The sequence below is a fragment of the Homo sapiens genome, chromosome 6 (assembly GCF_000001405.40).
Source record: "Homo sapiens chromosome 6, GRCh38.p14 Primary Assembly".
Classification (NCBI taxonomy): Eukaryota; Metazoa; Chordata; class Mammalia; order Primates; family Hominidae; genus Homo; species Homo sapiens.
In genome coordinates this window covers 100,102,523-100,116,644 of record NC_000006.12, presented here as the reverse complement: position 1 = coordinate 100,116,644, position 14,122 = coordinate 100,102,523, and positions in this window count along the sequence as shown.

Sequence of the window (14,122 nt, the reverse complement as noted above, 5' to 3'; positions counted from 1 at the left end):
GTGGCCTTTTGTATTCTCCTCACTGGTAACTGCTTAGACTCACATGAGCCTTTTACACAGTTCCACTTCCCATGAACAATATAGAATGCCTAGAGAAAGAAAAAAGGTTTTTATTTCCTCGAGGTTGAAATTGACATGAAATGAGTAAATAACTTAAAATATAGACATAATCGAAGAAAAATAATTATAAAACCCTAACCTCTCCAACTCTCCCAAACTCTACCAATTCTTTCAACATTAATTCTGTATGTTAGGACAACAGCGCTCTAAAAATCCTGCTCAGAAAACAGGAGTTAGGAATGGATGGGATACTATTCTTAAATTTGCAATAAGGGGCAAAATGGTTGCCAAATTCATTATCATTTACAGATGAAAAGACAATGTGACATATCACCAAAGGTGTTCTTTATTGACTGGTCCCCTTTGCTAAAGCTTTAGTTCTTTGTACATTAGGTTGATATATTTTTAAAAAATAATCTTAAACAGTAGACTGTTAATTTGGGTTTTTTTGGCGGGGGGGTATTCCTTGGTTTTTAGAAGCCCTTTCCATTAACCCTTTAGTGCATTCTCCATGAATTCTTTAGCCTGATGTTCACCAAGGTGCCTGCTTCTGGCATGCTGAGAAAAAGAGGACTTGAACTTCTATTGAACCTGAGGTCTCAGCACATCTATGGGGCAGAAATGTTCCATTTCCCCATTAAAAAGCTTTCATTTGTAAGCCGCAGATGAAATTTCATCTGCTTTGCATCAGTCTAGTTTATAACCCTAGAGAACTTGGCACCACAACCCTCAAACCCATTATTGGTATTTTCCCTTCTGATGGGAAATAATACATTAACAACTTGGTTTTTGTTTATTTTGTTTTTGCTTTAAAAAAATGAAACACATTTCATGTGTTGCCCTCACATTTTTTTGTTTCTCATTCAAAGCTTTATTCTGGGCTCCTTTCAACTGTGCATCTCTGGAATGACAGACATATGGGGTTTCTTGGTTTGTTGTTGTTTTTGTTGTTTTTCATTTTGTTGGGTGGGGATGGTTTCTGATCTTCATTTGCATTGCCAAGCAACCTGGAACTCTATTGGCAGTTACAAAAGCTCTCTTGGATTGCTAAATTCATTTCCATTGGAAACACAGTTTTACATATAGGAAAATAAAATGGCATCTTTTAAGTTTTCCCTCCAGAAAATGTAATCATGAAAAAATATGCTCTCTCTTGTTGCTGATTCTCATACTACAAAAATGCTACCCAGTAGGCACTTAATTGACCCATAAAATGTAGATAAACTTGATGGGTCCAAAACCATTTTGATTGGAGAATGACAGCCGCATGAAGGAGTCCATCAGGATCACTGCAAGGCACATCTATTCAATAATAAGCTTTTTGATGACAGGAGCTGGTCTCTTGCATTTAGGAAATACTTATTGATTAAGGAATGTAGAGGAATGAGATAGAAAACAGGAGAAAGGAAAAAGAGGTACTTGCTGGAAAGTGGTTGAGAGCCACCAACAATTAACAGTGGCATTGCTAGAGAGCCCTGGGCCACTGTGGAAGGCCCATGCAGTGGGTGCCCATCATCAGCCCCTTCATAGAGCAAGATTTTTCAGAATTAATCATTTTTATTTCTATAGTGTAGAATGTAAAAATGATTGTGAAATGAATGCAAAATTAGCTGAAATAAACCCCAATCAACTCTCACAGAAATTTCTTTGCCTTTGCCTTTTTTTTGGCTTGGTTTATTTTTATTGAGCCAAGGACTTGTAATATGGCCATTCTGTTTTCTGATTCAACATTTGTGTGGTGAGTACAGAGAGATGGTTTGGCCACAAAGTAGTTGGCTGAATTGAATATATTTTACCATAAAAGAGAGGGTAAATTTTTGCCAGAAGTATAGTATAGACATATTCCTATCAAATGACACTTAAAAAGCAAAATGATCAGCTTATTCTGCAAAACTAAAAAAAAAGGAAAGGGAAAAATGCAATTGTTGAGCTTCTTGACAAATTTAGTCACAAGATATAATGAATACTGAGACTCATATTCCAAATTGTGTTATGCCCCAACATCAGATACTTTTAAAATATTTTAATATTTAACTCAATGACCAAATAAATTGTTATCCATTCTGTCTTTCTTCTTCATCTGAAAACAGAAATAAAATACGACATAGTGTAGCTGCCAATACAGACTTCTAGAATTATGAGAATTTCAAGATAAACAGTTAACCATATGAATGTGTATATCACTAACCTTAAAAAGCAATAATAGAATAATGGTAACTATAAACAAAGTACCATGTTAGATGCATTAGATACATCATCTCATTTAGTCCTCCCAGCCCATTCAGGAAGTCCTTGTTATTCCATTTCACCCTGACACTTATAGGGATTTAACTGGCCCAGAATTGTACAGTAGTGGATGCCAGATCAGAATTCAAACACCTGGAGCCTAACACCAGAAATCACCCTGCGAACAACCACACAGTAAAGATCATCCTGTTGTATTCATTTGATTATTCTATTTCCATTTCAAGACTCTGTTTACACTGATTATTAACCTTAGCACATTTTGTCCTTTAAATAGTGCATTTTGGTGTGGTGTCTGTAGTACCTAAATTTGCTTGAGGGATGTTCTGAAAGAATCTGCTCAGGTTTTTGTTTTGTTTTGTTTTGTTTTGTTTGTATTTGTTTTTGTTTTCCAAGTTACATTGAACAAGGAAACAGAGTCATTTAAACTACTTAACCTCTAAAAAGTCAAAAAAAATTTATTTCAAATAAACCAAGTTGATAGCATAGTTTTAAGTCCAAAAAAAAGAATACAGAGTTAAAAAACTGGCAGTTGAGAAATATATTCATTCTGTCACTCCATTAAAAAGCTTCCCCCCGGGGCCGGGCTCGGTGGCTCATGCCTGTAATCCCAGCACTTTGGGAGGCTGAGGCAGGCGGATCACCTGAGATCAAGAGTGCAAGACCAGCCTGGCCAACATGGTGAAACCCCATCTGTACTAAAATTACAAAAAAAGTTAGCTGGACATGGTGGTGTGTGCCTGTAGTCCCAGCTACTCGGGAGGCTGAGGCAGGAGAATTGCTCGAACCCAGGAGAGGGAGGTTGCAGTGAGCCAAGACTGTGCCATTGCACTCCAGCCTGGGTGACAAGAGTGAAACACCATCTAAAAAAACAAACAAACAAACAAACAAAAAACTTCCCCTAAAAAAAGGCTTAAGAAAAAAACTGGAAAATTTGTTTGGAGTTTCATAATATTGGCAACAGCTACCATCATTCTGGCTTTTTAACTGATTTTTGAGCCAAGAAAAAAGATCCCTAGAACATAGTCCTATTGGTATTTGCAGCATGTCCCTTACTACTTTGTCATAGAAAAAACAAAGATCGCTACATAAACCGATTGCCCACAACTTACCCATATGAATCCTCATAGCCTCAATCTTCTTACAAATTCATATCATGTGCTCTAATTAATGAGCACTGTTGTCGTTTGCCTTTTACATGTGTATCATTCATTGTAGACGTTAAGTACCACAACGAGCAAAGAGAGAGGGTTGAAAGAGTTCCATAAAGATTTTTCACGGTTCACATACCAGACAGGCGTATGCAAGGTCGATTTACAACAGGGGGCAGAGGTTACAATGAGAGCCTTTCCCCTAATTTTATTTAAAAAAAAATAAGCACAGTGGAATTAGGAAGTCTTTTTCAATGATCTCATTAAAGGCTTTACTTGGTAGGTAAATATAACATACAATATCAGTTTTTCTTCAACTAAACTAACTAATAAATAAAACCTTTTGGGAGTTTTGTTATTATATAATAAAAGACAAATTTATGAGGCATTTTTTTGGTCTAAAAATGACCCACTTCATGCTTCTTACCCACTATAGGTCGTAAAAAGAAAGTTCGGGTTTGCAGAGACTACACACATGCATATTTTGCATCAGGAAAAATAAAAGAAGCTTGAGACTCTTCAAAAGTAAGACAATAATTAAACGCAGAACCTCAAATTGTTTTTCTTCTTAAAATTTCTATCTTGTTTACATTATACAGGGACTCCCTTCTGATATTTCCCACAGAACCTCAGGAAATATCAACACTCCCGCCCTTTCTGAAGTTTCCTTGGCTTCAAGTGGCTTACGATTCTTTTCATGTTTCCCATAAGCCCTGGGAAAATATAGCAACATTTTCATCAACTGAAATTTGCATATCAAAGTTGTGAAGACCATGATATCATTCATAGACTGTGTATAAAATATTGGGTTCCCTGAAACATTTGTCTATTTTAAAAATCACATGAATGCAGTCTAATTTTAAATTATACTTGGTCGAGGGTGTTTTGGGTTGCTTGGAGTTTTATTTATGTTCTAGCGATTATGGCCACAGTTTGAATAAGTTTTCTTGCCTGTGAAGAGCTTGGTCTGATGAAAGGGATAAATCACCTCTTATCCATGATGCTGCATACAATGTGACATAAGCCACCTTGCTGCTTATTCTGGGCACTTCATTATTCCCATTGCTGTCAGACTCCTTGGTAATCCTATTTTAAAAGCCCAAGCAAACTTGAAGAGTCACAGAGCATTGAAGAGACAAGCCAACAAACTTGAAGAGACACTTTCCTGAAAGGTAGTTGGATAAGCTACTTCTTGTTTCAGACAAGTCTAAGTCACTTGGCCTAGTCGTACCCTTAATTTGGCCATTCTGAGATGAGCAAACACACCTTCCCTTCAGCTAGTTTTGAAGTGTGCATTTCCCCACATATTTACCCTGGCCCACTCATCAACACACTTTCCTTTCTGACAAAGTGTTGCTGCTTTTGCTCCAGCCTCCTGGCCCATATCCTGAGTTCTCCATAGGAAATGAGTCCTGGGATGTTCAAAATGCGTGTCTGCCTCACACATAATTGCAAAGATCTTTTCTAACTGGAAAATATCTTTGAAATACTTATTCTAAAAGAATTTCACTTAGAAAATAGCTAACAGCAACTTTCATTAGTATGTTCTACTGAAATGTCTTTCAGCTTACACAATAAAAGCAAAGAGAAAAACAACCCTTTTTCCACCAAAGACAAAGATTAAACAACATCCACAAGAGGTGGTGGGATAACGGTGTAAAAAGCCTTAAGTAGGACAAAGACCACTTATTAGACTGGATGATGTTGAGCAAATGTTTAAACCATGCTGTGCCTCAGTTTTCTCATCTAAAAAAATGAGGAATTAGGCTAGGTAACTATGAAATCTCTGTCGAGTATAGTTTCAATATTAAACTTTATAAATACAACAGAAAGCCCAGCTTTGATATTTGACTATGTCTCTTATGCACACATACCTGTCCTTTTTTCACGTATTTTCTATAGCATGTTATGTGATTTTTCTATAAAAGCGCTTCTCCTTTAGTTCTTTTCTTATAACTAAATCATGCAGGTAAATCCAATTAGGGGCAGGCCTTCTCTCTCTGGGCACCAGCAGAGCAACCAGCTGCTGATCATTAGAGTCCCTCCAGATTCAGGTAGTTCTTCAAAAACTAATTAGAGTTCTTACATCAGAATTTTGAACAAAGAGACATTGTGTGAGAATAACTCCAAAGCAATATGGACAAAATGATAACCACCTTTATTAGACAGCTAAATAAAATATTGAACAAATTACAGTACCTGCAAGTGATTAAACAGTTGGCAGCTGCATTTTTTCCCTCCACATATCCCTCCTTGTTGAAGAGTTAACCCATCTCAGCCTATTTCTTCTGTCTTCTTGAGCATCTTCTTCACGAGACCCTCATGAGTTAGTTGTGCAGTAGGTTAGGTCTCTAGGACACTGTCTATCTGAGCTACTATAAATGCTGAGGACACAACAGATCCCTGCTCCACCGATATCTCTCAGTTCCCAGCCTTTATGATTATTGGAGCTATTGGTGGGAAATTCTTATAACTTCTATGCTTCTTCCTCCTTGTCTGCTTTTGGGTGCTCTCTCCTCTATTCTCTGCTCCCCTCTGCTTAGAATATCTGAGACAGTGCCTTCTCCATGCTGTGCACTGCCCTGCATGGGAAGTGGCTCCTTCAGCTCTCCTCCTTCCCTTTTCTTCAGCAGAGGTAGGTGATTATCCATAAAACAAGGGGCTAAAGTAGGGGATCAAGTAAAGAAGGCAATCATCTGGGGTTGCCTACAAATATTCTCTCATCTTTGTTTTTGGGGACTTACTGAAGATGAGAAGCTACTTGCCAATCAGATGATGTTTTGTTAGGAAAGGACAAATTTGAGGGGCATGGCAACATGGGAAAAAATAGGAAATATAGGAAAAAATGGGAAAAACATAGGAAGCCAGAGAAAGTCTGTCTGTAATTCATTTTTCTTTGTTTGAAGCATTCCCAGACCATAGCAAAGCCCACTGACTCTTAACCCTTTCCTTACCAGTTAATTCAGATAACAATTATAGAACTGCTTATATTAATTATAGGACACTTACACAACACTTACTATGTACCAGGCACTGTTCCGAGTGCTTTTATTCATTCTCACAACCATCCTTTGATGAAGGTTCCATTATTATCCTCATTTCCCAGATGGGGAGAACGTGGCCAGAGTTAAGCAATTTGTCCAAGGTGAAAGGGTAGCAAACAACAGAGCTTGGCTGTGAAATTAGGCAGCCTGGCCTCAGGGTCTACATCCTTACACTCTTTGCACTCTCCTGACTTTCCATATGGGTTTCAGATGCATAGTTTGCTTGGAATCATGGTGTGTGCTGGTGAAGGAGAGAGAAAGGGAGGATGGAGATGATTTAATTTCATTGAATAGCAAGTAATTGCCTGGATCCTCTTTCCTCTTTTCAAAATAAACAAATGATTGACATAAGCCCATCTTATGTGGGGAGGGAGGCTGTTTGTTTGTTTAATTTATTTGTTCTTATAAAGCTAACACTGACAGGTCTACTGCTCCAAAACTACATCTTTATTTGGGCTAGAAAAGTAAGCTTTTCATCTGCTTTGGTGATGGGTACAGCCACCTTAAGAAGGTTCCATGGGAATAATGAAAAGTATTAAAACATGCATGATGAGAACAGGAAAGGACTTGAATATATTACAGGAAAGAAAACTCAGGCCTAGGGAAATGAGGAGACCTGCTCCTTAATTAGCAAAGTCTGTTTGTGATAGAACAAAATTAGAAACACTGATTTATCGTTCAGAGCTCTTTCTAGAAATGAGCAATTCCTGTTATCTGGTAGAAGTGCCATTATCTAAAATAAATGTTATAGCCCCATCAATGGGCTTACATTTTTAATAACAATATGTACATATATTTTTCCTTTCTTTTCTACCATCAACGTAAGAGGCAAAAGAAAATGTTGATGAGGAACCAGCAGTGGTAGCCATGGCATCTCTTTTGTCCCCAACACTGAGGAGGCAATTCCTTTATTCCGTCACCTGTCCCAGAGGTGCCATGGCAGAAATTTGAGTAGGGGGGATATGGTGAAGAAGGCAGAACCAGATTCACCATCTGTGCATTAGCAGTTGACTTGCTCAACCTAGCAATATTCATGATGCCTTTTCCTTTAGAAATTTATTTAAAGTAGGGTATTTTACCAGGTCCTTTAAAGTTATCCAACCTCTCTGGAGTTGAATCTGGAGAGGAAGACATCTTTAAACAAATACTCCCTCTGTCCCCACATCATTAGCCTCAGATTCCTAAGGGAAATAGGCAAATAACCTGGTCATTCAATCACTAGATTCTTCTGTGTACTTTTCCCAAAGATGGGCAATAAAACTCCTGATGCCAAAGAATACTTTTCTACTATGAAATTCTTTTTAGATTATTTGCCTATGAAAAAATGCCCTCCTCCCTTCTTTTTTGTATTTAAGCACAATAAAATCCCATGAGGTAAAAATTGGAGAGTTTCCATAATACATTTCTTTACATAAAGTGATATGGTTTGAATAGACTATCTGGTTTTATATATATTAGGATTGATCTTATTCCAGTATAAAGGGTTGAACTATATTATCAAGAGTATTCTAATACTACTCAGGTCTTTTTCTTCATTTCAGTTTGATGACTTAATACTTTCTGTTGAACTGCACTGAATTGATTAGCATTTTTAAGAGTTTCATGATGACTACATAATAGAAAGGCATCAATCCACTGATTGACCACACTGTCTCTCCCTAAAAATTGACCACGGAGACACCTACACTACAATAATTTAGGGGCTGGGGGTTAAACTGAAAGGTCAGATAGAAGCAGGGCCAGGTATAGTGACATGGCACATGAAAGCCAGAGCAGGCCAAACGTTACGGAGAAAACCAAATTGAATAAATGAGGAAATACGACTTCAGATGAATAGAGATAGCAGTTCTATTGTTTCCTGAGTACTGTCAATTCCCAGCTCCCACCTTCAAAAATGCATCTTCTTTCTTCATGTTCCTTAAGCTATTGCTGTAGCCTTTAAATTACTCGTTGTTAGTTTAAGCCAGTGCAGTAGGCTTGTGGGTTTTTTTTTCGTTTTCTACCAAACTCTAACTAGAAAGTCTGTATTATCACCCATGTAGAAAAATTTTGTTTGTTTTGTTTAATCCTACTTTCACAAAAATAGTGAAACATCGGAATGTCGATTGGGAAGAAGCAAAGAGTTAAATGCTTCCAGATTTTGGAAAATTCTTTATTTGCAATGTTTCTGCACCAAATCTATGTCTATTTGTAAAATCAGATTAATTAGCAATATGCTTAGGTTGAGTTCTGCTACCATCATGGTGGTCATTTGTTAAGCAGGAAGTAAATGCAATTTCAAGCTTGAGATTAATTATTTGGTCAATTTCAATCTGTAGTCATTAAATAGAATCTCAGCACTCGATGTTTCCAAACTTGAATGTATGCTACATTTTGAAATCAGAAATATCTAAATGTACAAAGCAAAGATGCACACGCAGACAAGCCTACATATGCGTACACACCCAGATACACACACACACACACACACACACACACACACACACACACACACACACACACAATTTAAAAGTAAGCAGCACCACACAGTGGTCAGATAGGGAATAGTTACTGTTTAACAGCAGCACCCCTGGAGATAAAGGACTGGTTCTTTGTTATTTTTCCAGAGCTCAGATGTGATCAATGTGGTGTCAATTTCTGTGAAAAAAAAATAAATGTTATGTTTTCACTTCTTAACCTCTTGAGAAAAATAATTGTTGGCTAAATTTCAACCTTATTTACAGATGAAAATGCTAACAATGAAAAATACTTGTCATATTTTACCATATGCGGTTGTGTTTATTACAACCAAATGCATTTCAAAAACCAGTGATTGAAAAAACACTATTGCCCAAGGACTTTCCTTTTATTCTTTAGCATAGAGAACATTTTATTACTAAATTTAATCTGCTGAAAATCAAATTTTATAACTGAAAATTTGGCACAAATGTAACCATAGGCATTTTAGTGATTGCATTAAGTAAATGAAGGTAAAATACACCTCTGAAATTGTATATTTAGCTACAGTTTAGCTCATCATTTATTCTGTGTATGAAGTATAAAACAGTGATCTGAAAATCATTTCCATCTAGTTCAGTCTAAAGATATTCTTCAGTTCTTTGGAGTATGAAAACCCTAATTTCTAGAATGTATTCCGTTTGTGCCACAATGGGATGTTCATCTTTCCTCAACAATGCTTGATCTCTTAATACCATCACTGACACCCTCAGTGGACGGCCTTCCTAGGCATTGCTCCATAAGTGAAGAGTTTTCAAGAGAACTTCAGCAGGATCACTGGCGTCTAAAAGAGTCATTTTCTCATTATTTAACTTTTTAAGCCTTCTTGCTATTGAAGAAAACATGATTAGCAGCAGAGCTGCAAAATAATCTGTAGTTAAGAAGAATGCATTGCCAGCATCTGCAAAGCTCAGATAGCATCTTTGAATGGTTAACAGAGCGTAGAGGTAAAGACAGCCCTTATCACAGTTGAGGTGACATATTGAGGGATGTTAGCCCTGGTGTTTTCAATATTTTAACATTTTGCATATCTCCAGAACACAGAGACTGGAAGGTCCTATATTAATTATATTTTTTAATTTTCTCTATTCTTAATGACATGGCATCTGGAGCCTCACTTCCCCTATGGGGAGCCTTCCCCACCTAGAACTAGCCAATTCCTAAAGATAGTAGAAGCCTGATCTGCAAGTATGCCTTTCATACACAAACCAACCAATCCAGAGCCCACACCCCCCAACTACCTCCTTTATTGAACTGAACTGACTCACATCAAGCCGCTGCTTCCTCCCCCAATCCCCTCAGGACAAAGTATCCGACAACTTGGAACAGTCTCTCCACTCTCTACAAGCCCACTGAAATTATTCTGCTAGTCAATCCCAAGCCTGCTTCTCCTGTCTGTCCTATTTCTTCCTACAGAAACCACAATAAAGGCTCTTACCCACACTTTCCCCTCACTCTTTCTCTGTCCCCTGACTAACCCTGGTTGCTTCCCCATGTGGCCCCACGTGGTGTGCCTGGACTCCTAGAAAGTCAACATCATCACCCAGGACCTGTGAATATGAAACAGTCTTTCTTCATAGCAGCCGTTTCCATGTCTGTGTGTCTTACTATACCTCATCAAAACAAACGCTGGGTACATTTTAAAACAGGTCCCTAATAATGTGGAGCTTTCTCGTCTGCACCATTTCCATTTTCCGGCAGCACTTTATTCCCAGTATTAATGTGAAAGTATGTGTTGTCTAGCACTGCGTGTAAATTTTGAGGCATGAGAGATATATAAAGGGAAGACAATGACTGTCTTTCTTACTTTGTTTACTGGTCTTATTTATACCATTGAGGAATCTTTCCCATAAAACTCAGCCCAACTCAGTCATTACTCTGGCACCATACTTTCTGGGACTACATGACCCAAACTTAATTGCTTACATTGAAATTATTTGGTCTCTCTGTTTCTAACCCTTTTTTTTAAAATTACACTAGATTTTAACTGATTTTAAAGTGCTGAAAACTAATACATAACTGATTAAACAGCCAAAGCCTTCATTTGGTGGTAATCAATAGTCATCACATTTATGTATTTGCCCCATGTAGCTTGATGTGTTTGTCATACTATGACGTATTACGTTTTGCCTAAACAATTAACTTCCAGTCGGCCTGATAAATTGCTTCACTCTTCTCATAGCTTGTGCCCAATTGACTCTGCTGTTCAATTTTCTCCACTGGAGTCACAGTGCCCCAAGGCTTAGCCCATTTCATCTGTGCAACTAAACACTGTTCTCCAGGGTTATATTTAATTAAAACACAGCAGTATTTAAGTGAAATATTTAACTTCTGAGGTCTAAACCAACTTTCACTACCATAATTACTTTGCAAAAATCACACCATGGCAAGACAGGAAAAAAATGCAAATTTAGAGTCACTGTTTGAAAGCTGAAGAACAAAATCATTAGGAAACAGCAGTCTTTTCTTCCCCTTGTTTCTACTTAATAAACCCATTCACTAAATATATCAGCAAAATGTCATCCACGACAGATGTGCAGGTCTAAGTGCTTTTGTAGTTTACCAACTAAAAGAAAACAGCTTCGGAATCTTGTATCTGAGTATGGTAGGTATGTATGAATATATACATATGTGTGTACGTGAGTGGGTAAATGAGTGTGTGTATGCAGGCACTATCATTAATTAAACACCTACTATGTACAAGGCTTAACCAATGTACATTTCTTCTCTTATTTAATTCTTACAATTCTAGTCACTCCTTATCCAAGGTTTCACTTTCTGCTGTTTCAGTTACCAGTGATCAACCACAGTAAAAAAAAATTAAGATTTTGAAAAAGAGAGGGAAAGAGAGAGAGAGATCATAGCCACATAACTGTTGCTGCAGTATATTGTTATAATTATTCTATTTCATTATTAGTTATTGTTAATCTCTTACTGAGCCTAATTTATAAATGAAAATTTATCATAAATATGTATGTATAGGAAAAATCATAGTATATATAGTTTTCATTATTGTCTATGGTTTCCAGCATCTGCTGGGTACCTTGGAACATATCCCTATGGCTAACAGGGGACTACTGTATACATAAATACGATTCTTACAACTATAGCCCTGTATAATTAATTTATCAACTTTCAACATTCTCCATAACATTAAGATTATATGAATAAATGTTTATGTTTTATACATGGATAGAAAACTGTTGAAATGCAAAATGTTTTAGAAACTCTACTTACCTTATAGGCAATTAACATTTCTGTGCCAGGCCCTGTGTTAAGTTTCCTTATGTTTTCCCTTCCAACATTCCATGAAATGGGGCTTATTCTCTTTCTGTTATTGAGAAAATAAAGCTCCCTAGAGGTAAAATGACTTTTCAAGTTTATGTAGCTCTTTTCCTCTCTACAGTAATTTTTGTCCAGGGAAATCACAGATGATGAGGTGGATAATAATTTCAGACATTAACTGAGGTTTTTTTTTACATACTTTCTTGGTTTGCCTGTGGTTTTTCTCTCAGCGAGTCAGTGGCACTCACTGCCTGGCTGAGGGTGGGCAGATGCAACTTCCGAGGATGAAGCTGGGGGCAACACATGTTTCACAGAGAAGCCCCATGTCAGGTCCAACATGGTGCCTGAGCAGGAAAAAGGAATAGTCCAGACCAGGGCTTCTTAAGCTTACTGTGGTAAAGGGGAAGTTACTTTTTTTATAAAAATAATAAAATAAATGACAATATACATGAAATGAAACTCCTGAATTGTTTTAAAACAAGCTCTTTAATATTTAAATTCAAGTTTTAATTACTAAGTTAAATTACTACGGAAAGTTCTAAACTCTTACTGTCAATTTCTGTACTTAATTTCACAGGAACAAATGTGATGCTCTGTGTGTTTATGTCCCCCCAGAATTTTATGTTGAAATCCTCACCTTCAAGGTGGTGATATTAAGAGGTGGAGTCTTTGGGTAGGTGATTGGGTCATGACGACAGAGCCCTCAGGAATGGGATTAGTGCCTTTGTAAAAGAGGCCCCAAAAAACTACCTTGCCTCTTCCACAATGTGAGGACACAGTAAAAAGCACCACATATGAATCAGGAAATGTGCCCTCAGCAGACACCAAATCTGCCAGCACCTCAGTGTTGGGCTTTGCAGCCCCAGAACTACAAGAAATAAGTGTTAGCTATTTCTTTCTGCCTAGACTATGGTATTATGTTATAGCAATCCAAATGAGTCAGTAACTAATAATTTAAATAATTTGTATACTAAGACTGGGTTTACATAGCGCACTTTTTATAGCTCTCATCTAGGCCATAGGCCTGAGGGAAGCCACCCGGATTCCTACTCACCTCAGTTTACTGTGGGGAAGCCAGTCAGAAGTTCCCGGTCCCCAAGAGGGCAGAGAAGTGTCTGAGAAGATTGACAGACTAAAGAGCCTGTGATTGGCTTGAGAAGTACACAAAATGCATGGAATAGGCAACTGGAGGTCACAGCAGGACTGCAAGCATCAGTGGCACATGGAATGAGGTGAAGTCAATGTTCAAGATCTAGTGGGACAAGTTACACCTCAAGTGAAGGCATAAGAGAGCAGGTGTACCATAAGCCAGATATGCACCCTTGAAAATGCACCACAATTCCCTTACATAAACCTCCATAAACCCAGATTTCTCTACAGAGAAAGAAGAAGGTGGGAAAGAATCTTGAATGGCTGAGTAGTGAGTCCCCCCAAAAAAATATTAAATTTAAAATCAGAAGTGACAGAGTTATTTCAATTTGGCAAGATTCAATTTTTTGCTATTGAGGATAAGCAGGAACTCATACACTAAAATGAATTTAATTGCAGATATTTCTTAATTTCATTTTTGAAACTTGAATATGTATTTTGTAAAACATTATATTTTCTGAGTGGAATTATTTGCATTTTAACAGAAGACAATGTCTTAATCCAGAAAAGTGAATTTTTAACACGAGAATTTCTGAAAATAGTCACAAGTCACTAGGAGAGATTTTTTAAAGGAGAACTTAAATCTCCTGTGTCACAATGCCACAGAGAGCCACTGACCCAATGTGCTGAACTCTTTCAAGAAGTTCTATCGACCCACACAGAAATCATTGGCAGATCTGTAATGATATATAA